The following is a 25,038-nucleotide window of genomic DNA, read 5'->3' on the forward strand; positions in this document are numbered from 1 at the left end:
ACATGTGGTGTTTGGTTTTTTGTCCTTGAGATAGTTTGCTGAGAATGATGGTTTCTAGCTTCATCCATGTACCTACAAAGGACATGAACTCATCCTTTTTTATGGCTGCATAGTATTCCATGGTGTATATGTGCCACATTTTCTTAATCCAGTCTGTCGTTGTTGGACATTTGGGTTGGTTCCAAGTCTTTGCTATTGTGAATAGTGCCGCTATAAACATACGTGTGCATGTGTCTTTATAGCAGCATGATTTATAATCCTTTGGGTATATACCCAGTAATGGGATGGCTGGGTCAAATGGTATTTCTAGTTCTAGATCCCCGAGGAATCCCACACTGACTTCCACAATGGTTGAACTAGTTTACAGTCCCACTAACAGTGTAAAAGTGTTCCTATTTCTCCACATCCTCTCCAGCACCTGTTTCCTGACTTTTTAATGATCGCCATTCTAACTGGTGTGAGATGGTATCTCATTGTGGTTTTGATTTGCATTTCTCTGATGGCCAGTGATGATGAGCATTTTTTCATGTGTCTTTTGGCTGCATAAATATTTTCTTTTGAGAAGTGTCTGTTCATATCCTTTGCCCACTTGTTGATGGGGTTGTTTGTTTTTTTCTTGTAAATTTGTTTGAGTTCATTGTAGATTCTGGATATTAGCCCTTTGTCAGATGAGTAGGTTGCAAAAATTTTCTCCCATTCTGTAGGTTGCCTGTTCACTCTGATGGTAGTTTCTTTTGCTGTGCAGAAGCTCTTTAGTTTAATTAGATCCCATTTGTCAATTTTGGTTTTTGTTGCCATTGCTTTTGGTGTTTTAGACATGAAGTCCTTGCCCATGCCTGTGTCCTGAATGGTATTGCCTAGGTTTTCTTCTAGGGTTTTTATGGTTTTAGGTATAACATTTAAGTCTTTAATCCATCTTGAATTAATTTTTGTATAAGGTGTAAGGAAGGGATCCAGTTTCAGCTTTCTACATATGGCTAGCCAGATTTCCCAGCACCATTTATTAAATAGGGACTCCTTTCCCCGTTGCTTTTTTTTGTCAGGTTTGTCAAAGATCAGATAGTTGTTTATATGCGGCATTATTTATGAGGGCTCTATTCTGTTCCATTGGTCTATATCTCTGTTTTGGTACCAGTACCATGCTGTTTTGGTTACTGTATCCTTGTAGTATAGTTTGAAGTCAGGTAGCATGATGCCTCCAGCTTTGTTCCTTTGGCTTAGGATTGACTTGGCAATGCAGGCTCTTTTTTGGTTCCATATGAACTTTAAAGTAGTTTTTTTCCAATTCTGTGATTTTTGTTTGTTTGTTTGTTTGTTTTTTTGTTTTTGAGACAGTCTGGCTCTGTCGCCCAGGCTGGAGTGTAGTGGCACGATCTTGGCTCACTGCAACCTCCACCTCCTAGGTTCAAGTGATTTTTCCTGCCTCAGCCTCTCGAGTAACTGGGATTACAGGCCCCTGCCACCACAGTCAGCTAATTTTTGTATTTTTAGTAGAGATGGGGTTTCACCAAGTTGGCCAGGCTGGTCTCAAATTCCTGACCTCAAGTGATGCCCCAATGTTGACCTCTTAATGTGCTAGGATTACAGGCATGAGCCACTGTGCCCAGCCCAGAATAGCTGACGTCTGTAAAAACATGGCACAGTTTAGTAACAATCTTATTGCAAATGATGTTCTTTATTATTTCATCATTTCTGAGCTCTAGGAGAGTTCTCACTGAGAAATCTGATTATATTAATTTTCTTTCAAACATTGTTTCTCATCAACAGGCTATTTCGGAAAGGACAAATTTCCTTTGTCATAATGTAGGTATGTAAGTCATTATGGAAGGCACCATTAGATTTAGAACTGGATATACATTATCTTCTGTAAAGTTGTCTCACTTTCTTTGTTCATTCCACTTTACATAGATGATAAATTTATTATGTATTTGATACAGTCATATGAACTAATTGATCTTACTGTAACATAACTATGAACAGACAAATAATTATATAAATAAATAGACACATAGACAACTACATAAGTAGATGTATATATAAATAACTTTGATTGATAAAGAGACAAATATGCAGTTTTTATTGTAAACAATACAATATGATATGATTTTGTCTCTTCCATCAAATCACATTTAATAGGAAAGAAAGACTCTAAAGTGAAAAATATAATGATAAATATAAGCATAAGATGTATACAGGCCCTTGAACCCACATAAAGGTGGAAAAAGAGAGATGGAAGTTGATGGTCAATAGAAATTTCCTGAAGCTGGGGAATCTTGCAAAATTAAGTAAATAAAGGTGGGAATATTCCAGGTTGCTGGAGTGCCATACAAAGGCAGTACAATATGTCAGAATGTTCTATGTTTGGGGAACTTCAAGAACATTTTGGTATGGTGCAATATCATATTCAAGAGGAGTAGTGGCCAGATAATAATGAGTCTTATATTTAATGCAAAGCAAATGAGAATCAAATCTTTAATGCAATATTACATAACAATTGCCTAAAGATCCTGATTCAGTAGGTAAGGCTTTGGCATATTCATTTTTAGCAAATAACTCAGGTGATTTTTGAGGCTATTTGCCTCAAATTTATTAGATATTATTTATTAGATAAAACTTTTGAAACGTTGCTTCGTAATGAGAGTCTTGAAAGTGTTCACCAGGCCATACCAAGGAAAGATTTCTTTTGAAAATAATAAATTCTCTGACATTTGGTGAAGAAATGAATTGGAACAAGTTGGTAATGGGAAATAATATAAATTAGGAAGTTGTTAAATAATCTAGGTGAGAAATGATAAAAGGCTCACCTATGGCACTGCTGGAAGTAGACAAAATATATGGAAATTGTTAATAAGGAAGAATCGCCTGATCAATACCAAACCACCACTCATATATACTACAACCCTTACTAAATTTAAATTATTTCATCCTCACATATCTATGATGAACATGTGTTATCTCTTTTTACAGATATGGAAAGTTTCAAAGATAATTTAAATAACTTGCCCAGTGTTATATGACAAGGAATTGGTTGAACAGGATTCCAGCCCACACTGATTTCAAAGCCTGTTTCTTTCAATATCATGGTAGACTATCTATATCAGATAATATAAACCCCACTTTAGAGAATTTTGCCTGAGAAAGTAGGGAAAGAGACAGGCCTATTACAAGATTAAAATTTAGGGAGGTAAATTTCTGTAGTTTAAGTTTTAAGAGGGAGTAGATTTGAGACTGCTTGTTTCCTGAGGGCAATATGTTGGTGGAGCTGAAGACAAGGAAGAGTAGGAAAATTCACAGAATATGATGATGAAGAAGCTGGAAGAAATGGGATCTAAAGCACAGTTAGAGAAACAGGCTGTAAAGATGGATGCATCCTCTTGTGGGTCAGAAGAGCAAGGCAAAAGGATTGGTGTAAATAAGCAAAATGTTGAAGTTGAAGGAAGTGACAGAATCATGGAAAAGGAAACAGCCATTCTGATAGCCTTTATTCTCTGTGGCAATCTCATGGCTAAAATGAGAGATCTAAAATGAGAGCATCTAAGCTATATGGGAAGAAGTATGGCTATCATAGAGGGCTGATAGAATGGTATGAAACATGGCAATCAAGATGTGTAGCATTCATGAAGACAAAGAATAACCTTAGATGTAACTGAGCTAGAGAATGGTTAGGATGGATTACACTACATTTTTTGAAGGCAGAGGAGTTACAGCTAATGAAAAATTCCAGGATGGGTTATGGGTGTAGGTGAATAAAATTTTCCCTTGAATGCTGAATCAATAAATATTTGAAGACACAGAGAAAAGCACCAGTTAAAGGAAGACATTGAAAATATAGTGTCAAATACAGAAAACTTTTGAATAGAAACTGATCATATATAGTTTACTTTCAATGTAATAAATCATTCTAAACTTAACTTTATATCAGGAATGACAAGAAGCAGAAGTGCTGTTACTTCTCTCCCATATCAGGTATTGGTTATCAATCTTTGAGCTCATTCCTTTAAAAAAAAGAGAGACAGCCTCACATTCCTTTTTAACTTAATTCTCAAGCATATTATTTGTTACATTACCTTAAATGTATTTACCACACCTGATATATCATAAATAGCTTACATTACGTAGACAATTTTATAATAATAGTGTTTATCATTTTGACTGCATTGGCTTATTTTCTAAACACGATTATTAATATAAAACTCTTACTACTAAAATTATTTTAAGGCTATTTGAACATTATCCTAATTATAAAGGCAATTTAAAGGATACAAAAAGATACCTAATAGTTTAAATATTACATACCCTGTCAGTTTTTTTTAAGTTGACATATCTCAATATATGCTTAATTTTTCTATTGGAGTATTAATAATATGTGAATACAATGAAATCAGTAGGGGAAATGAGAAAAATCTTGAGATTACTCAATATACAAAAAATCCTGAATTTGTAAAAGTGCCTCCATTTTGTAAGTTTTCTGACATTTGGAGTCCCTCTGAACTCTTATTTCCAGCTGTGGAAATGGAGCAATTTGTTCTGTAAACACTTGTGAAGACATATTGTGCTCTCTGATCTCTATTAAGTTTTCATTTGCTAAACTTGAGTCAACTCAGGCAGAAGAAATATATTTTGAGAGCAAGCAAGAAAAAAGCAGTTTTAATTTTTTTCCCATTTTCAACAGATTCTTGGGTTCTCAACTTTGTCTTTTCTGTACAGAAAACTTAATTAATTCTAGAGAAAGATAAATCCTAAGACTACGAGAGAAAGAACAGCTTTCAATTTCTAATAAATCACTAAAATGCTCTTTTATGGCATGTGTTAGTAGACTCTTCCCCATCTTTGTGAGCTTGCTTATTTTCTCCCCTTCTAGAAATTTGTAAGTTAATACATACACTTTGATATGAGAGAAACAGATGATATAATCTTTTAATATTCCATCTATGCATAAGACATATTTGAAAATATCAAATAAATCTAGGTCAAGAAGAAGAGGGATATCTCAATATAAATATTAAAAGCCCCATGTTTTAACAATGACTTAATCATTTTAAAAATTGTCAATACTCAACTTTGGAAAAGATAGAACAGATAAAAACTAAAGAAAAAAACAGAAATTATTATTGTAAGGAAATGGTGGGTGGGAATTATTAAATCTGAATGAACAAACAATAAGAGTTTGTATTAGTTTGTTTTCTTTTACATAAAATAATCCCATATAAATTAGTTCCTTTAGCCTTTTCCTTTGACCTTAAGCTGTTCAAGCCTAAAGGAATTCACAAAATTCCTCTTTGTCATTGAACTCTATGTGAACATAGATGTTTTGTAGTTCACACAGATCATAGACTTTTGATCTAAATATGTAAAAACAGGGGAGAGAAAGTCAGGAATTTCTAATAGAAATGTAAGATAACATTCTCAGAAATAAGAGCTCATTTGGGTATACTTTTAAATGGTGTGATTTTTTTAAAAAGTGCTTTAGCTTATAAAACAGTGGTTTAGAGGATTCCTTGTGTGATATTTCTGCCACTTCCCCCATTAATAATGACTTTCATTACTTCACTCCCATTACCATATTAAATCTTACAAGGTTTTTCTTTTTCTTTTTTTTTCCAAAATGGGGTCATATATGTAATAAAGCTGCTCATCAGACTAACTGATCACCAATTCTACCTGTGCAGAGTGACAGTGGCACTTTGTGATAGAATTAGACTGTCTACTCAGTTTATAGTCATTTGTCATCAGAGCTTATTTCTCTGCCATTTGGTGAAGAGACCAGTTCAAACATGGTCGTTGATCTGCACTTGCCTCTGCACCACTGTGTAGACCAAGTATTCACTGGTCTGTGGTAAAACTGGAAAACTAAGGACAGTATGGAGAATTTTCAATTAAGTTAAATGTGTTCACTTTTAAAATTTCAATATATATAAATTCTTACTTTTGATTCAAAACGTCCCCTCTTATAGATTGAGAGTATGCTAAGATTACAGCTGAGTTTTGCTCTTTTGACAACCCCCATCCTCCCACAAGCATATATGCACACACTCACATAACCAAGCAACACAGCACAATGATGGCTCACTAGCCAGGCTTGCCAAACGTTAAAGTAATTTTAACACGTTTTTTATTAAGAAGGTCAACCAAGCCCACGATTCACCTAAAACGATTAATCTCTGTCTCATTATAGTTCTTATTAAACAACTCTGTTATGAGCTCATTTAGAAGTAGGTGTCATCAAATAGCAGTTTATCAACAGCTCATGAACATTGAAAAATGTGAAAATTCAGTTTGAAATATCCAATAACTTTGATTATATCCAGGATGGTAACTATACAAGAAAACAAGGATCTTGAGAAGGTCCTTCACATGATAATATAATAATGGTTCACTTTTGCCTCATGAGCATACACATAATTAAGGTATAATCAAAATAAAAAATTCTCAACACACTAATGATTGAAGCATCTCATTTATGTTAAATTCAAGTATAGTTTAAGCAAATTTGAGATTTGTGTATTATTCTAACCTTAATTTTTTTTTACTATGTCTTATTTTATATTTAAGTTTATGCATTTCTTAGATGAGTTTTGTTGGTTTGAGACGTGTTCTGAGTCATCTGTTACCTCTTAACTTCGCTCAGGTCTTTTACTCTCTCTCAGTAGTAAATAATACACGTTTTAGTTGAATTCTGTCTGTAGCATCCACTGTAACTTGCAGGAGTAGGGAATCTCATTAAGCATCTTACTGATAAAACAAATATTCATCACAGTTCTTTACATTGTTCTCACGGGAAATCACATATAAGCAGATATTTGTTACAAAGTGGTGCAGTCACTCACACTGCCTTACTTTCTCTGTGTAACTGCTTGATACCATATTGCCAAAGTGTTATTTATTGAAGAGCATCGGCTATTTAAAAAATTTATATGAGATCAACTTGAATTATATAGGCTATCAAATGTAGATAAGAGATTAGTGGTGGTTTGAATACATACATACATAAATATAGGAGATTGGGGGCTCACGATGTGATTGGAAATGAGCTGAGCGGCAGAAAAATATCTTATTTAGCATCTGTGTGAGGTGGCTGAGGATAGGAATGTGGACAATAGAGAATAGTTGGTTTCTTGTAAACTTGTGTTTTCCTATTCTTACTCAAATTGAAGGCTTCTTTGTGTATTTGAGGGAAACTAAAGGAAGTTATAGGGGGCTGACATACTTGAAGTTATTATTAATATATTCTCATTAATTAGAGTATCACTGAACATTTTTGTTCTCATATAATGACCGTGTTGTTAGCTTATTTATCTCTTGTTGTAATGTCTGTTTCATACAGAAGGAGAAACAAGTTTACTTTAAATGATAATCTTTGTTCCATCAAAGCACAATGATTTACTTCGGCACATTTACATCACACTATACTTAAAAGCTTTATCCTTTAGTTAAATGAGACTTTGAAGCCTAAATTTGCTTTCTGAAATGATATGTTTGAATTTCCAATCATGTATTTTCTTCCCATATACTCTTCAGATAAAGGAAAAGCTTCCATTTTCACTATCTTAAAAGAAACATTTTTTCTTGGATAACAGCTGTAATTCATGCATTCATGTCTAAACACCAGCTAATTAATTCAGAATCAGTATTATATGTAATACTGAAATTAGAATCTGAGCTAAAATTAACTTTGGCATGGTTAACTCTTTCTTCATAAAAATTTTTGCAGAAATCCAGGCGCAGAAGAACCTGGGATTTTCAAGTAATTCTCACATACCCACAAAAATACTTTAAAGAGAGATGTGTTGAGGATTGGCAAGCCAGTTAAGTTTATCATATCTTTCATGCCTAGTTCCTCAGTCAAAGGCAAAAATACAGTCCCTTACTGTCAAATTTTGTCTCCAAAACTCCCTTACCCACCATGATCTGTGCTTCCCAGGAAGCTCGGTTTCCTAGAGTACAAACTAAATCAATTTCAGTCTTTGCCCCAGTAGAAACCTGTCCATATTCCTGAGGGATAGTGGGTCCCTGTCAGCTAGTTATTATTCTGTACCCTCATATTTTCAGGCTACAAGACAGCATTTATAGTCACCTCCCTTAATCCAAGTATTTTCCTTGACTTCTTATTTTCCTCTCTCATTCAAAACTAACAAAACAGAAATACAAACAACAAAACTCCTTTGACATAAAATTCTGTGTAGAACCTAATCTGTCATCACTTTAAAAATGTCAAATGTGTTCATGGGTTTAAAAAAATCACTTGCTACTAAAAGCCTATAATGAAAGAAAATATACCAATCCCACCCATCAGTTCATTCCCCATAGCCTAACATATTTTAGTTTTAATTTCTCTTAATTAACCACCCTTTTGCAGTATATACATACTACTTACTCCTTCTTGTTTTGACATTGCATCAAATAAATATAAAACTATTCCAAAATTTAGTGATTTAGTTGTGTAAAATCTTTTTAATAAGTTGTTAACAATTCTTCTCCAGGCTGTGGGTTGGCTGAGCTGACCACTGGTTGGGATGGACTTGACTGATCTTGGCTGGACTCACTCATATATTTATGTTTAGCTGGTAGGTCAGCTTGGGGCATGGTGGTCTGGTGTGGCCTCTGCTAGGTGTCTCAGCTACCCTTCACACATCTCTTACATACTGAAATCTCTCGTAGCAGCCAATTCCTATTCTCATGACACACTCTAATGGCATTTTACAGAAGCAAGAGGATGGGAAAATGTGCAAGCAGTCTTTCAAAGCCCTGCTTGCATCACAGTTACTGTTATCCCATTGTTCAAAGAAAGTCACATAGCCAAGTGCAAACTAGGTTTGGGTATGGATACAGGGAAGCATTGATTTGGCCCACAGATGAAATCAAGCTGGCTTCCAGTATTAGAATATGAAACACATTTTCTCAGTTAGATTCCTAATCAGAGATTTAATTTTCTGAGTTACTGCGTATATGAAAATCTATTCCACTCTCACATAGTTTGAAAGTTGTGCTGACTATGTTGGAATTCAGGTTCCTAGATTGGAAGTTGTATAATATTTAGTCAGGATAATGTAAAGTTACTCTTTCATTGTCCTTTAGGGCCCAGTATTGTTATTGAGAAGCCCAATGCCATTTTTTTCCTAATGCTTGTATTTGTGCCCTGTTTTAATCTCTTCAGATTTTAGAGTATTTGTTTATCAGTTATGTACTTATCAGTCTTTTCTCTTTTTCCCTTTATCTTAGAAAATGTGTAATGCTGTGCCCTCGTGTTAATAATTTCATACTTGTCTGATACCCCATGGATTATTTTATTATGGAAACTCATATTCTTCAATTCTGGAAAATTTTCCCATGTTGTGTCTGATAAATTTTCTCCTTCTATTTACTCTTGTGTCCCTTCCTGGAAGTCCCAAGTACTTAAATTTAGACCTTCTGAATTAATCACTTAAGTCTGTTATCTTATTTTGGACATCTGTAATCTGTCTGGCAATTCCTATGAATTTGTACATCTCTGGACTTCCAAGGCATCTTTTTTCAATCAGGCCTGCTTCTCAACATTACTTTCTTGCACACCCAAATGTTTCTAAATTCTAAGTCTTCCTATTTTAGTGTTTTCAGGAATTAAATTCCAATATTCTTGCTTTACACTAGAGATTTGGGGGCATATATTATGTGCATGATTTATGAAAGAAATTTTCTCTTTTTTATGTCAACTTCTAAATACAGGCATGTGCTGCAGAATGATGGTGGTCAATGACATACCACATATAAGTCAGTGGTACTATAAGATTATAATACCATATTGTTACTGTACCTTTTCTATCTTTCAGTATGTTTAGATACACAAATGCTTATCACTATGTTACAATTGCCTACAGTATTGAGTACAATAATGTGTTGTACAGGTTTGTAGCCTAGGAAGAATAAGTTATACCATATAGCCTAAGTGTGTAGCAGGCTATCATCTGTTTTTCTAAGTATACGCTTTGACGCTTGCACAATGACGAAATGGCCTAACAATACATTTCTTAGAGAGTATTCTCACTGGGAAAGTGATGCATGACTGTATTGTGCCATTATTCCTTCATTCACATTTTTGGGTATAAAGCAGCCTTTCAAAATGTTATCTTCTGTTGTCCTTTTTCCCAGTATTTGACCTGATTGATAGGTTTATATTTTTCAAAAATTCCTTTATGATCATTTTAGTGGTGTCTAGAAAAGTAGTGAAATGAATGTGGCAAGTTTAGCATCTTGAAAAATAAGCCCATTAATATCTAGTTTATAATAATCACATTATTGCTCTCTTACCATAAATCCAACTTCCAGCTGGGCAACGCTATGTTAATCTTCTATTTCTGCTTGTAATCAATAGACCCCCAACTTAATTTACCATTTTTCCTATAAAATCTGTAAAATCTCAAGGCATATTCCGATACTAGGGAAGAAAAATATTTTATGTAGCACCTGGAATGACAACCACAAAAACGGGACAGATACTGACAGACACTTAGACTAACTCCAGAGAAGTAAACTGTTAGTTTGGTGCAAAAGTAATTGCAGTTTTTGCCATGAAAAGAAATCATTGTTGCCATTAAAAGTAATGCCACTAAAAATAATAGCTAAACATGTTTGACACTTATAATTCATCTCTCTTTTAACAAGTCCTAAAACACCTATATATCACTCATCAGACTGGACACTTACTAAAATGGTAGGCAAATCTCAGAGACTGGGATTAGAAAAAGTTAATCGTATTCAAAATAGGAAAAAAACTAATTCTGAGAAAAAAAGTAAGAATAAAAAATACATATAATGGCATTAAGGTCCTGAGGTTGAATTCAGGACTGTACTATTATATTAAAATTTTGATAATAAGTCAAGATTCTAGATAGAGTAAGTTAAGGGAAAAAGATAGAAGACCTAGCAGACATAGTAATGACTCTAGTAATTTTTAAAATAAACATTTGAGAGTGATGTTTCATATGCTTGGAGTAACTGGCATCAAATTAAGTTCAAGGAGCAAAATGGGAGTGTGCCATCTATGCAAAAGACTATAGTTCCTGAGTCTGTGAGGGGGAGTTCATGCTTTTATTTAAGAGATTAGTGGAAATGGGACACTGGAGCTACTTGCAAACACATCCCGGTAAAGATTGAGCCAGGAATACTTTAGTACAATCTTATTGGGAACTCAAAGACATTCATAGCTTCAGCATTTGGTGGAAGAAAAGAACACGATAACTAACAATAGCATCCAAAATTGTTTTTTCTTATGTCCCATGCATCCTCAGTTGCCCATCGGGGTCCTTAAGCTATGAAATTTTAGAGTCACTTTTAAACCTGTTCTTTTGTTCTTTCTTAATTTAAAATCAACTGATAAATCAATTACTCTATTGCTATATTTCTTGCTCCTTTTCTTATTGAAGCTGTCATTATCTCTTATTTAGATCAATATAATTGTCTCTTTAGTACATTCTCTTTTCATGGTGTCTCATTCAATCCACCTATGTGACCCCAGATTTGTATTTTTAAATCATAATCTGACCACTAACATTCTTGTTTTAAAGTCTTTCAATCCACATTACATATAGAAACTCATATTATGATTGAATGTTATTTAAGCTTTTCCTCATAATCTGATCTAAATTTGTGTTAATCACATACTATTTTCTAGGCACACAAGATTTCTCATCATTCTTAAATATGCACTGTATGTTGTATCATAAGTTTCGTCTCCATGTTCACACCATTGTCTTTGAATGGAATATCTCTTCCATTCTGCTAGTGAGAGTCTTATCCATTCACACAACTCCAGCCTTTTCTGATGTCCCAGGTCATAATTAGTTTTTTCCTTCTCCCTGTTTATAAAGCACTTGTCTTGTTCCTCTACATTAGATTTCATTACAGTACAACATGCAATGCAATGTATTGAGGCACCTCTGTATGTTCTTGTGAGTTTCTTAGGAACAAAGGCAGTATCTTCCTCATCTTTACATCCACTTTATTTTCTAGTTGAACGTCTTGCTCGTGATAGATGTTAGTCCATTGAAATCCAATGATCTTCCTCTTCTTCATGCTGTTCTACAATGCTTAACTACTTTCATATTCTTTGTGCAATCCACTTCCTGTAAGAGTTATTTCCTCTACCTGAAAGTTTATGATGTACTTTGGATACCTTAATATGTATGAAATTAGCTAGTTTCCTTATGTGTTTTTATTGTATTCTGTTCTCCTATACATTGGTAGTTTGTTATAAATTTGAAAAAATAAACTGGATTTAGGCATGTACATAAACACTTAGACAGCATATGTAACTGGAAAATTATGTTAGCTTCATGCAAGGAGGGAGGACATCACAATGCTAAGAATAGTCAAATGTGAGTTAGTGCTATTGATAGAAATATATAGCTCTCTTTTATGAAGATAATAAATTGTGAATTAAACTAATTTATTTATGTTCTAGACTCAGTTCATTGTCGGTGTACAGACAGAGCTTTACTTTCAAAGAATAGCTACACACAGAAACAATTCTAGGATCCAATACTTTTTGAACACCCTGTAGTTGGGCATTATAATAGTATTATTAGATAATTTTAGAGTGCCAATTATAGTCTTATAAATACAATCTGTGAAACTGGAAAGTTCTCAAGGAAGTAAGTTTGAAGATGGTGATCTTTAAGAGCATGGATCATAAATTAAAATAATCAAATAAAGCAGTTGTTGTAGAAAGAAACAAAATAAAGGCTAGGGAAGTTTATAGAAACAATAATCTTAAAAATAAAGATATCCAAAATGTTATTATCAAAAGAAATCCATGTGAAATGCTTAATTTCTGAAAACAAATAAAAATCCAAAAAAGAGGAAGTCAAGCTTTCATGGAAAACTTCAAACAAATGACAAAACAGGATTATTTAAAACACAGTTAAACACTCCTTGGAATAGAGAATGAAGAAGAACTAACATTAGCAAGGTAGAAAAGAAATGACATTTTAGTCTGCAAGATGGACCCTTAATTCACAGAAATTATCCTTTATTATTTTCAAAAGTTGTTCTAAAACTTGGTGATACTCTAATTCAAGACATGGGTAGGAAAAGGGGAGATTTATGTGCCTTTTACTGAACCACTTTTACTCATGCTCAGCCTCAACATTATTATTTTCTTTCAACTGCATGACTATACCTTGGGAGGAATAAATAATTTGAAAATATATGAGTTAACAAAGAAAGAAATGCAGAGTTGCAGACTGATAATGGAAATTACAGGGGTTATAAAATATCATATATTGCGTTGCCATTAAGATGAAAGGAATACAGGAAGTTATAAATAACCCACACCATTTTTTAAAAGACTGCTTTTTAAATATTCTTTGTGGAAGCATAACTGATAAAAGTCTAGTCATTTTTCATGTGAAGTCATTTTTCTCAATAAGCAATTTGCTAAAGTGAAAAAACAGGATTAGACAATGGTTGCATTGTTTCATTCAGTACTTCTGAATGAAATGTCATATCCTGCGTACAGTCTCATACATGAGTGAAATGTTGAATGGCTTTGTAATATATAGGTGTTATGCAAAAGAAATGTGAAACAGTCTATAAAAATAATGCTTTTATCATGGAACAATAAAGAAATCACAAAGAAAAGAACCATTTATGGTATTACCAACTTATTGAATTCTTTACAATTTATAAAGTGTTTTCAGGTACATAATTCAATTAAGTTTTCCTAAGAACTCTGTAATCTAGCCATTTAATACTATTTTTCTTACACAGACACCGAATAACATTAAATGACTTGCTTAAAGTCTCATAGGTAAATCTTTTGATTTTTAAGTCAAAGCGGTAGAGAAGTTGTAAGTCTAAGAAAAGGTGAAAAAAGATATGGGAGAGAATGGCATCTGCTATTTTCAAGAATACCTCAGGCCTTACACTTATTAAGTGACTTTACTTGCTGTATTTACTATGAGATAGGAAGAACCAAAATGTCAGGGAACAGAAAAGAATGACTCTATTGAAACAGCCTCAAATTATTCCTCAGTTCTGCACAAACAGTTTGATATTATTCTGAACTATATAACATTCTGCAAAGGAAAAGGGACCAATTTACCCATATTTCATGTTGAGCCAGTAAGAAAGCCCAGACCACTTGGATCTTCTAACTTCCATTGAAAACTGCAGGTCAGGTAGAGCAAGGTTGCATTAGATGATTTGGAAAAGAAAGGGGATAGGTAAGAGGAATTTACTTATTGGATCCAAACTAATTAAATCATGCAACAAATGCCTTACGCATGTCACCTTGGTAAGAGAAAGGGAAAGTCTCAGAGAATATACATAGTCTACTTTAATGACAAAGATTTGTTTCTGGCAGGATCTTAAAATATTAGATCTCAACATCAACAATGATGTGTATAATTTTTACACTATATTCATAGTGGCTTTCAAAGAGGCTAGAAATTAATAAAATTCGGTTTAAAGTAAAAGAGTTGTGAACTAGTGCACTGTAAAATTGTTTGGTTATATTAGCACACAGAAATGTTCTCTGATCCACTAATTATCCCATGTATTTTCTTATTTCTGGAAAATACCTGTCAAAACGCTTTCTCTGATGATAACGATGACTACAGTTGTATGTATTCTAAATATATAAATGAAGTAAACATCTCAAAAAATGTGTATGCTTCACAATTGATTTTCTGTATTCATCTCTTAAACTTAATTTTCTGTAGTTAGTTGCTACTTGCAACTTTTACTCTGAAAATAAAATTCACTAAATATAATATCTTTTGAGTGTGTTTTACATTAAAATAATTTTATTTACATTGTCAGTTTTTTTTAATTTAAAAATACTTTATTGCTAAAAGATGCTAACGATCAAGTGAAACTTCAGTGAGTTTCAATCTTTTAGCTGGTGGAGGGTTTTGCCTGGATGTTGATGGCTGCTGGCAATTTCTTTTTGTTTTTTTTTTAATTTTATTATTATTATACTTTAAGTTTTAGGGTACATGTGCACAACGTGCAGGTTTGTTACATATGTATACATGTGCCATGTTGGTGTGCTGCACCCATTAACTCGTCATTTAGCATTAGGTATATCTCCTAATGCTATCCCTCCCCAATTCCCCCACCCCACAACAGTCCCCGGTGTGTGATGTTTCCCTTCCTGTGTCCGTGTGTTCTCATTGTTCAATTCTCACCTATGAGGGAGAACAGGCGGTGTTTGGTTTTTGTCCTTGTGATAGTTTGCTGAGAATGATGGTTTCCAGTTTCATCCATGTACCTACAAAGGACATGAACTCATAATGTTTTATGGCTGCATAGTATTCCATGGTGTATATGTGCCACATTTTCTTAAACCAGACTATCGTTGTTGGACATTTAGGTTGGTTCCAAGTCTTTGCTATTGTGAATAGTGCCGCTATAAACATACGTGTGCATGTGTCTTTATAGCAGCATGATTTATAATCCTTTGGGTATATACCCAGTAATGGGATGGCTGGGTCAAATGGTATTTCTAGTTCTAGATCCCCGAGGAATCCCACACTGACTTCCACAATGGTTGAACTAGTTTACAGTCCCACCAACAGTGTAAAAGTGTTTCTATTTCTCCACATCCTCTCCAGCACCTGTTGTTTCCTGACTTTTTAATGATCGCCATTCTAACTGGTGTGAGATCGTATCTCATTGTGGTTTTGATTTGCATTTCTCTGATGGCCAGTGATGATGAGCATTTTTTCATGTGTCTTTTGGCTGCATAAATGTCTTGTTTTGAGAAGTGTCTGTTCATGTCCTTCGCCCACTTGTTGATGGGGTTGTTTGTTTTTTTCTTGTAAATTTGTTTGAGTTCATTGTAGAGTCTGGATATTAGCCCTTTGTCAGATGAGTAGGTTGCAAAAATTTTCTCCCATTCTGTAGGTTGCCTGTTCACTCTGATGGTAGTTTCTTTTGCTGTGCAGAAGCTCTTTAGTTTAATTAGATCCCATTTGTCAATTTTGTCTTTTGTTGCCATTGCTTTTGGTGTTTTAGACATGAAGTCCTTGCTCATGCCTATGCCCTGAATGGTATTGCCTAGGTTTTCTTCTAGGGTTTTTGTGGTTTTAGGTCTAACATTTAAGTCTTTAATCCATCTTGAATTAATTTTTGTATAAGGTGTAAGGAAGGGATCCAGCTTCAGCTTTGTACATATGGCTAGCCAGTTTTCCCAGCACCATTTATTAAATAGGGAATCCTTTCCCTGTTGCTTGTTTTTGTCAGGTTTGTCAAAGATCAGATAGTTGTATATATGTGGCTTTAATTCTGAGGGCTCTATTCCGTTCCATTGGTCTATATCTCTGTTTTGGTACCAGTACCATGCTGTTTTGGTTACTGTATCCTTGTAGTATAGTTTGAAGTCAGGTAGTGTGATGCCTCCAGCTTTGTTCTTTTGGCTTAGGACTGACTTGGCGTTGTGGGCTCTTTTTTGGTTCCATATGAATTTTAAAGCAGTTTTTTCCAATTCTGTGAGGAAAGTCATTGGTAGCTTGATGGGGTTGGCATTGAATCTATAAATTACCTTGGGCAGTATGGCCATTTTCACGATATTGATTCTTCCTACCCATGCGCATGGAATGTTCTTCCATTTGTCTGAATAGACCAATAACAGGCTCTGAAATTGAGGCAATAATCAATAGCTTACCAACCAAAAAAAGTCCAGGACCAGATGGATTCACAGCCGAATTCTACCGGAGGTACAAAGAGGAGCTGGTACCATTCCTTCTGAAACTATTCCAATCAATAGAAAAAGAGGGAATCCTCCCTAACTCATTTTATGAGGCCAGCATCATCCTGATACCAAAGCCTGGCAGAGACACAACCAAAAAAGAGAATTTTAGACCAATATCCTTGATGAACATCGATGCAAAAATCCTCAATAAAATACTGGCAAACCAAATCCAGCAGCACATCAGAAGCTTATCCACCATGATCAAGTGGGCTTCAACCCTGGGATGCAAGGCTGGTTCAACATACGCAAATCAATAAATGTAATCCAGCATATAAACAGAACCAAAGACAAAAACCACATGATTATCTCAATAGATGCAGAAATGGCCTTTGACAAAATTCAACAACCCTTCGTGCTAAAAACTCTCAATAAATTAGATATTGATGGGACATATCTCAAAATAATAAGAGCTATCTATGACAAACCCACAGCCAATATCATACTGAATGGGCAAAAACTGGAAGCATTCCCTTTGAAAATGGGCACAAGACAGGGATGCCCTCTCTCACCACTCCTATTCAACATAGTGTTGGAAGTTCTGGCCAGGGCAATCAGGCAGGAGAAGGAAATAAAGGGTATTCAATTAGGAAAAGAGGAAGTCAAATTGTCCCTGTTTGCAGATGACATGATTGTATATCTGGAAAACCCCATTATCTCAGCCCAAAATCTCCTCAAGCTGATAAGCAACTTCAGCAAAGTCTCAGGATACAAAATCAATGTACAAAAATCACAAGCATTCTTATACACCAATAACAGACAAACGGAGAGCCAAATCATGAGTGAACTCCCATTCACAATTGCTTCAAAGAGAATAAAATACCTAGGAATCCAACTTACAAGGGATGTGAAGGACCTCTTCAAGGAGAACTGCAAACCACGTCTCAATGAAATAAGTCAGTTTTTAAAAATGTTTTTGTGGCATTGGTTCTAGTTGTCTCTGTCTGGAAAAAATTGATTTTTCAAATCAATTTGAAAAGTTGGCCGAGCAATATATAGTCACTTAAGCAAGCCTGTATGTATGTGGACAAGTAGACATTAACGATTACTCTCATTTTTGTTATCAATGTGTCTAAAACTATAAATTTTTTAAAGAAGATCACCCACTCGTTAATCTTTTTTCTAAGCCATAATAAATATCAATTTATATTATTTTACACAGTAACTATTTTATTACATTAATATATCTATTTCCTCTATTGAAGTATTCTTGTTTTCTTTCCATGTTTTTAAAACTATAAACATTGTAAATAATATTGTAAAGCTGGTCATTTTTAACAGTAAATTTTAACAATAGAATGCATAGGTAAATCAGTATGGACATGTTTGGATTATTAAACAATTTAGCCAAATTGCCCCTTGGAAAGTTTATTTTAATTGTATATTTCTACCAAAAAAAATGAGAGTGCCTTGTATCTTCTTCGCTATTAGTTCTTAGTCTCTTAAATTTTTGTCATTTGTAGTGATCAATAATGCTTTCGTACAGTGTTTTAATGTTTAACTTTAGACCATACAGTGGAAAATGTATTCATATCTCTTTGCCCATTTATATGTCAAATTTTATGAAGCATCTGTCCATCTCTTGAAATTATTTTCATTTTAACTGACTTATCAAGTGTTTTATATATTAAAAGTGTTCAAGTTTCTTTTTCTTATTTGCTACAAATCACATTTCCAATGTTTCACTTGTTTTTCAATCTTGATTATAGTATTTTTTAGCCATTCATATTTATTTCTGTATGCTCAAAATCATTTTTCTCATTTCAATTTTTAAGATTGAAATACTTTTGGAAATGCATTCAGTGCAATCTAATTGTTGGTTTTCATATTATTTTGCAGGCTAGTGGGGAATACTGCAGAAGCATCAGGAATATCAGCTGTTGACAGCTGCTCTATTAATTTGACTATCCCCAGAGTGCTCCATAGCCTGAAGTTATTTCTATTGATGGAGCCAAGTACTCAATCCATTTGTTTTCACTCTATTAACACATTTATTTTCTACAATAATTCCATGATATAGGTTACTATTATCATTCCTGTCTTACATATGAGGAATCTAGAGCACAAGAGGTTAAGATGTTGTTCTAAGTCTATGCCAACTTAGAAATAAGTTTATGCAAACTTAGGTAGAAATTGGGAGAGCTGAGCTTTAAACCCAATCTGTCTTATTTCAGAGTTCACACACTTAACCCTTCACTATTACTGCCTCTACAGAAGTTTTGGCACTCTTTTTAATGAGCTTCCTGGTAGGTCCCTTGAGTGATTGTGTGGCCAAGATGCATTTCTTTTGGAAGCTCGAACTGTTTATTTTAAGCTTCACTTACATGAACCTCATTTATGACCTTTTCCTGAAGAGAATGATCGCATTTTAAAGCTGCGCTAATTTCCATGTCTAGCTTCTGTTACAGGCTCACTTTAAACTTTTTGTCTTTCTTTGGACTACTAGAAATTATCAGAAGGAAATTTTCTTTTAACTCCTTTGTCTGGGTACTCTTAAATGCTGACTTTAAATAGAATGACATTATTTGATACAAGTGAATTATGTATATAGAAATGTAGCTTTCTCTCTAAAGCTTTAAGTTTATTGTACATTTTATTATGCCATTCCATGAAATATGATTGATTAATTAATAATTATGAACAAGTCCTGGGTATACTTAGCAGTACTTTACTTCTTTCAAATATGGCATTTTTACAGACTTCAAAGACTTCTTTGTATTGCATAGAGATCACGTCACACAGTGTTATGGCTGATATTCATTGATCTTCACAGTGTTATGGCTGATATTGATTGATTCATCGTCTTCATCACTGGTGACTTTAGAATATTCTTATTCAACAGCTCAATTTTTCTAAAGAACATTATTTAGAAAATTTATTTAATTAAACTATATACATGGATGAGATAATATGATGATAAAAGAGCTCTGAATATAAAGTTAGAAGGCTTAGGTAACATTTTATTTTTTTACTTCATAATGTTGTGATTTCAAATATTAGGCTTTCAAATCTTGGTTTCCTCAACTTTAAAATGTAAATAATAGGATATGCCATTTACACATGGCACAAATATTGAAATAATTAGAATAGACATCAAGTAACGGTGGGTAAATGCATTTTGTTATAAAGCACCCTATATAAATATGAGATTCTATATGTTATTTAATATAAAATCATCAATAAAAATTATAGCAATACCAGAAAATGTATATTGACAATGACAAAACACTTAGCCGCTATAAGTATAATTATTTTTATTTTAATAAAAAATAAGAATCCAATATTGTTGTGGTCATAATTCTATATAGCCATTTTTTGGGGTGTAGATTATTAAACATAGAATCAATGTCATTTTATGAGTAAATGTTTTCCATTACACCACAAACATTCTTAAATATGTTTTCGCATTGAAATTTCTTGTTAAAATCTGGTAAGTTAAAGTTGCGTGCATATGTGTATCCATGTGTGCATATATTCATGTTTGTTTTATATGAGTCAACAAAGGTTTAAGTTGTAATTTATATTTGTGTTAAATAATTTGTCCATTTGTTTCTTCTTATTTTATGTTTTTGATATGTTTCCCTAGTTTTGGAGGAAAAATATATTCTGAGTGAATTCAGTGATTTGGAATTAAGATTTATTTACAGAAATCATTTTGTTTCATAAGAAGTGTTACTAAAAGTGATTGCTAATCATTCTCAGAGACAAACAATATGTGTATTTTTAATACTAGGAAAGGGTTGCTCTGAATACACCACCTGGGGAATATCATCTGAGGGTGACTTTGGTTATGGTGCTTTTTAAGGCTGCCTTAATTGCTTTTGCATGCAGCTATATTCATGAATGTGCATTCATCAAAGAATGAAGAGCAATGTGACATTTTCAAGTTTTACTAAGTCAACTAGCATCCGTTGCCATAGTACTCAGAAATAAGGAAGCCAGGAAAAGGCAGAGCTGTTTTTCATTATGCATTGAAAGATGTCAGCAGGATTAAAGTATAAAAGCAAAAAGCAAAAAAAAAAGCTAAGAGAAGGTGAACTACTTACCAAATGGTCACTAATGAATATAAAAAGCAAATACACCAGCCAGTACTTTTGGAGAAGGATGAGACTGAAAAAAGATGTAATTAAAGGGAAGGGTAACTTTATTATTTCTGAAAATATAAAAAAATGCCTGACTCTCTCTTTTCTCAGGTAAGAAAAAATGTTATACATTTTTATATGTATGTTATATACATACATATAATATCTCCTAATTTGGGAAAACACTGTCCTCTGCTAGGGAATAGTTTGAGCTGGTTTTACTCCTTGAATGAAATAAAGATGCATAAAAATAATTTTGTGCCCTTCAAATAACCTTTGAGTAAAATTAATATTCAAGGATATACTTGATAACTAGGGCTAGAACTTTGTAAATAAGTATAACCTTTAAAAATAAACATCAAACCTTATTTAAATATGGTGGCTTCATAACTAGACCCCCAACTCTGTAATTTCTAAATGTCGATGAATTTTGACAATGATACAATGTTTATGGTGTAATATAAACAGGCCACACATTCATTGCCATCATTATTCCAATATCTCTCTTCCAAGATCATCATTTCTGAAATTTCCTCTCTGATCTTAACTTACTAATCTGAGTTATCTTATTCTCTCATAAGCTGGATTTTGTCCTCAACCTTCAAGCCAGAGATTTGATCTTCCACTCTTCTGATTGATCAGAATTTCCATGGTCTTGATTGTCTGTCCTAACTTCCCACTTAATCTCTCAATTTTTTCCCTCATCTTCTGACTATTGCAGGAGAAAGCTATACAAAAAAAAAATTGATTGGTTACATTACAAACACAATCTATCAAATTTCATTTTGACCTGCCTTACTGCTAAATAAACTTTCTATTTTTCCCTTATTGAGCCAAAATTCTATTTGGGATTTCCAAATTTCAGTATTTTCTCTTTCAGACTTCTTCCACATTTCTTTAACTCTAGCCTGAGCTTCCATACATATTGTGAAATTATTCTATCTCCCTACTCTATATGGACTATTAATGTTAAATGAAATGGTGTACATTAGCTTCTCTGTTTCACTCCAAAATGTACCTTGTTTGTCACTCATTTCTTTTCATTTTCCATCTCTCTGAATGCATGCCAGACCCTCCACCAAGGCTCTTAATTTTATCTTCTTTCTCTTCCAGATTGAAACTAAAAATCCTGATGAGTTCAATAGTACCCTAGTTAAGCAGTAATGCAAGCTGAAGAAAATTCTTCCACTGTTAGGCTGGGCACGGTGGCTCACACCTATAATCCCAGCACTTTGGGAGGCCAAGGCGGGTGGATCACCTGAGGTTAGGAGTTCGAGACCAGCTTGGCCAACGTGGTGGAACCCCGTCTCTGCTGAAAATACAAAAATTAGCCAGGCATGATGGCAGGTGCCTGTAATCCCAGCCACTTGGGGGGCTGAGGTGGGAGAATCGCTTGAACCCGGGAGGCGGAGATTGCAGTGAGCAGAGATCGCGCCATTGCACACCAGCCTGGGAGACAGAGCGAAACTCCATCTCAAAACAACAACAACAACAACAACAAAGAAAATTCTTCCACTGTGTAGAAAATGCATCAACATTATTCTAAGACTTTCTTCAGGAAATCCCAGGCATTTAAAGTCAGCCCTTTAATACTATGGTTCTTATTAAAACCAGAGATTAATGTATAACCAAAACTGAAAGCTTCATAGGTTACATTGTGTGAACATAAATGAAATAAAATTACTGTGATAGAAATATGCTTTAGTTTCTCTCTACAATTACAAAAACGGAAGTTGAATGAGGAATTTAAAAGATAACAATACACTTTTATCTTGTAACAGTGTTAATCACAGTGAAATATACTTTTCAGGATAACATTTTCAAATGGAGCAAATATCGTTACAGATTGATGGCATAGCCTTTATTTGCCTTGTCAACATTAAGGTAGGAAGACTTCTGAGATACAAATGTCAGACTGACAGTAGTGACTCAGAAGCAGAAATTCAAAAAATGCACTTGCTGTAAATTCTGCTACACTGCCCAGGGCACTTCTTGGTCTGTATGTGTAACATGTATTCAGCTATTGTAAAGTTTCTTTAACAGTCCTGGAAGTACTATGACAGTAACAAGGAAGATTGATAGCAGATTCCATGCCTCTTTGTTAATCACATTAAGAACTCTGCTTGGTACTCTTTGATGTTGTGTCTGGAAACATACATCCCCACCACACCATATTGAAAACTTTCATCCTATTACCCATCTGCTGCCAGCAAATGATCAGTTTAAAGGCAAAAAATGGGTGATGGGGGTGTGAAAGTCAAAGATTTGCCAAGCATACCGTTTTTCTACTACTCATTCTTCTAATTACCTTTTGGGAAATGAGAGAACCTAACCATATAACATTTTGAAATGTTTCCTTAGGGAATCTGAATAATATTTTATGTAGCTTGAGTTACATGATAATGACAAGCATGTCTTCAAACATTAGAATTAAACCCATGGATGTGGCATAGTGCCTGTTGTTTTTCATCATAAGAGTTTATGATAAAACTGAGTACTGGAGTCTGCAGTTTATAAAAAGATGTTTCCTTCTATTTAGCTGGAGGAGTTTCTTATACTGGTGGATTGGTTCCCAGCGCCTACAGTCAGATAAATAAAAAGTTGCAGCAGGGGGACCAACTAGTAGGGAGTACATTTCATCGGTTGGAGAGAGGAAATTTATTTCTTCAATTACTTTAGAACATCTGCATGTTACAAAGAGGAATGTGCATTAACACAATTAACCATTTCTTTTTTTTAATTGAATTCATGGATTCATTCCTAAGTTTTCTAATCAGTTTTGCTCTGGTGTCATAAGTTAAGGGAGAATCAATACCAAACTAATTTTCCTGCATAAAGAGATTACTTGGATAATAGATTTTTTCCAGTGCTTTTGGAAATATTGAGTCTAATAAAATAACTCTAACAGAGATACAATTATTCATATCAGTAAGTTGTTCATCAGAAATATTTCACAAAGACTAGACCTGAATCTAAATTGGAGGCAAAATCATTCAATTCAATAGAGCAGTTGCACTTTTCTCATATAGTAAAATGACCAGTTGCACCTAGTAAACAGTACAGCACAACCCCTAAGTGCAGGGGATCTGGAGGCAAAACATGAGGGTCAAAGCCTCACTGTACCACTTTCCAGCTGTGTAATCTTGGGAAAGATTCTTCATCTGTAAAATGATGCTTAAAAGCTATACCTGACTTTTAGGATTGTTGTAAACATTAAATTTGTAAATGAGAATGATCTTATAACTGTACATGTTAACCATTGTTTAAACCTATATGAATAAAATTCTAGATGAGTCACTGATATAGTTTGGCTGTGTACCTACCCAAATCTCATCTTGAATTGTAGCTCCCATAATTCCCACGTGCTCTGGGAGGAACCTGGTGGGAGATAATTGAATCATGGGGGAGGTTTACCCCATACTATTCTTGTGGTAGTGAAGAAGTCTCACAATAGCTGATGGTTTTATAATGAGTTTCCCTTTTGCTTGGTTCTCATTCGCTCTTGCTTGCTGCCATGTAAGACTGTGATTGCCTGGACTGTGAGGCCTCCCCAGCAACGTGAAACTGTGAGTCCATTCATTTTCTTTATAAATTACCCAGTCTTGAGTATGTCTTGATCAATAGAGTGAAAATGGACTGATAACAGTCTTGGACTGTGAGCTCCAAGAATTAAATGCTGTGTAGAATGATGGAATATCCTGGGAAGACATCTACAGCTCTGGAGAGGCACTACCTAAAATAAAGAACTTATGTCAGAAAGGAAAATCAAACCTATCTTCATCTTAATGGATTCTCATTAACTACATTACTGGTGAACATTTTTCATACATGGCTGATTTTCTCAGCTGACACTACAATCAGATTTCATTCCTTCTCCAAACAGGGATGTGTTTACTCTCAAGAAATGCAATCTAATTTAAAATTGGGTGGAGAAAAACCATGTCAAAAAACACAGTAGTTGTATGGCTAAAATAGATCAACCACTTTCTTACATACAAACCAAAATGTTTCAGATTAGGTACTTCATTGTTTATTTCTTTTAGAATAGAAAAGAAAAAGTTAAGATTATATCTCTGCCTAAAGATTTAGAAACAGGGTCCGAAGGTAGCACCATCAATGAGTTACTTCCAAATAGTCTGCCAGAGAGTCCTTAAAATCTAAATGTTCTCTTTAAAGAGGCAGTAATTGAGAATCATTATTTTAATATAGAATCTCAACTGTTACAGCTAT

General features: G+C 34.1%; 1 long non-coding RNA gene across 1 annotated transcript in view; it reads left to right on the plus strand.

Annotated features, from left to right (window-relative positions):
- LINC02172 (long intergenic non-protein coding RNA 2172) overlaps positions 1-24,105 on the plus strand; it is a 57,700-nt gene extending 33,595 nt beyond the window's left edge. Inside the window, exon 2 of the long non-coding RNA NR_146553.1 lies at positions 21,922-24,105. This is a non-coding gene — a long non-coding RNA (long intergenic non-protein coding RNA 2172). The remainder of the gene's footprint in view (positions 1-21,921) is intronic.
- The last annotated feature ends 933 nt before the right edge of the window (positions 24,106-25,038 follow it).

Source organism: Homo sapiens, chromosome 4, assembly GCF_000001405.40.
Source record: "Homo sapiens chromosome 4, GRCh38.p14 Primary Assembly".
Taxonomy (NCBI): domain Eukaryota; kingdom Metazoa; phylum Chordata; class Mammalia; order Primates; family Hominidae; genus Homo; species Homo sapiens.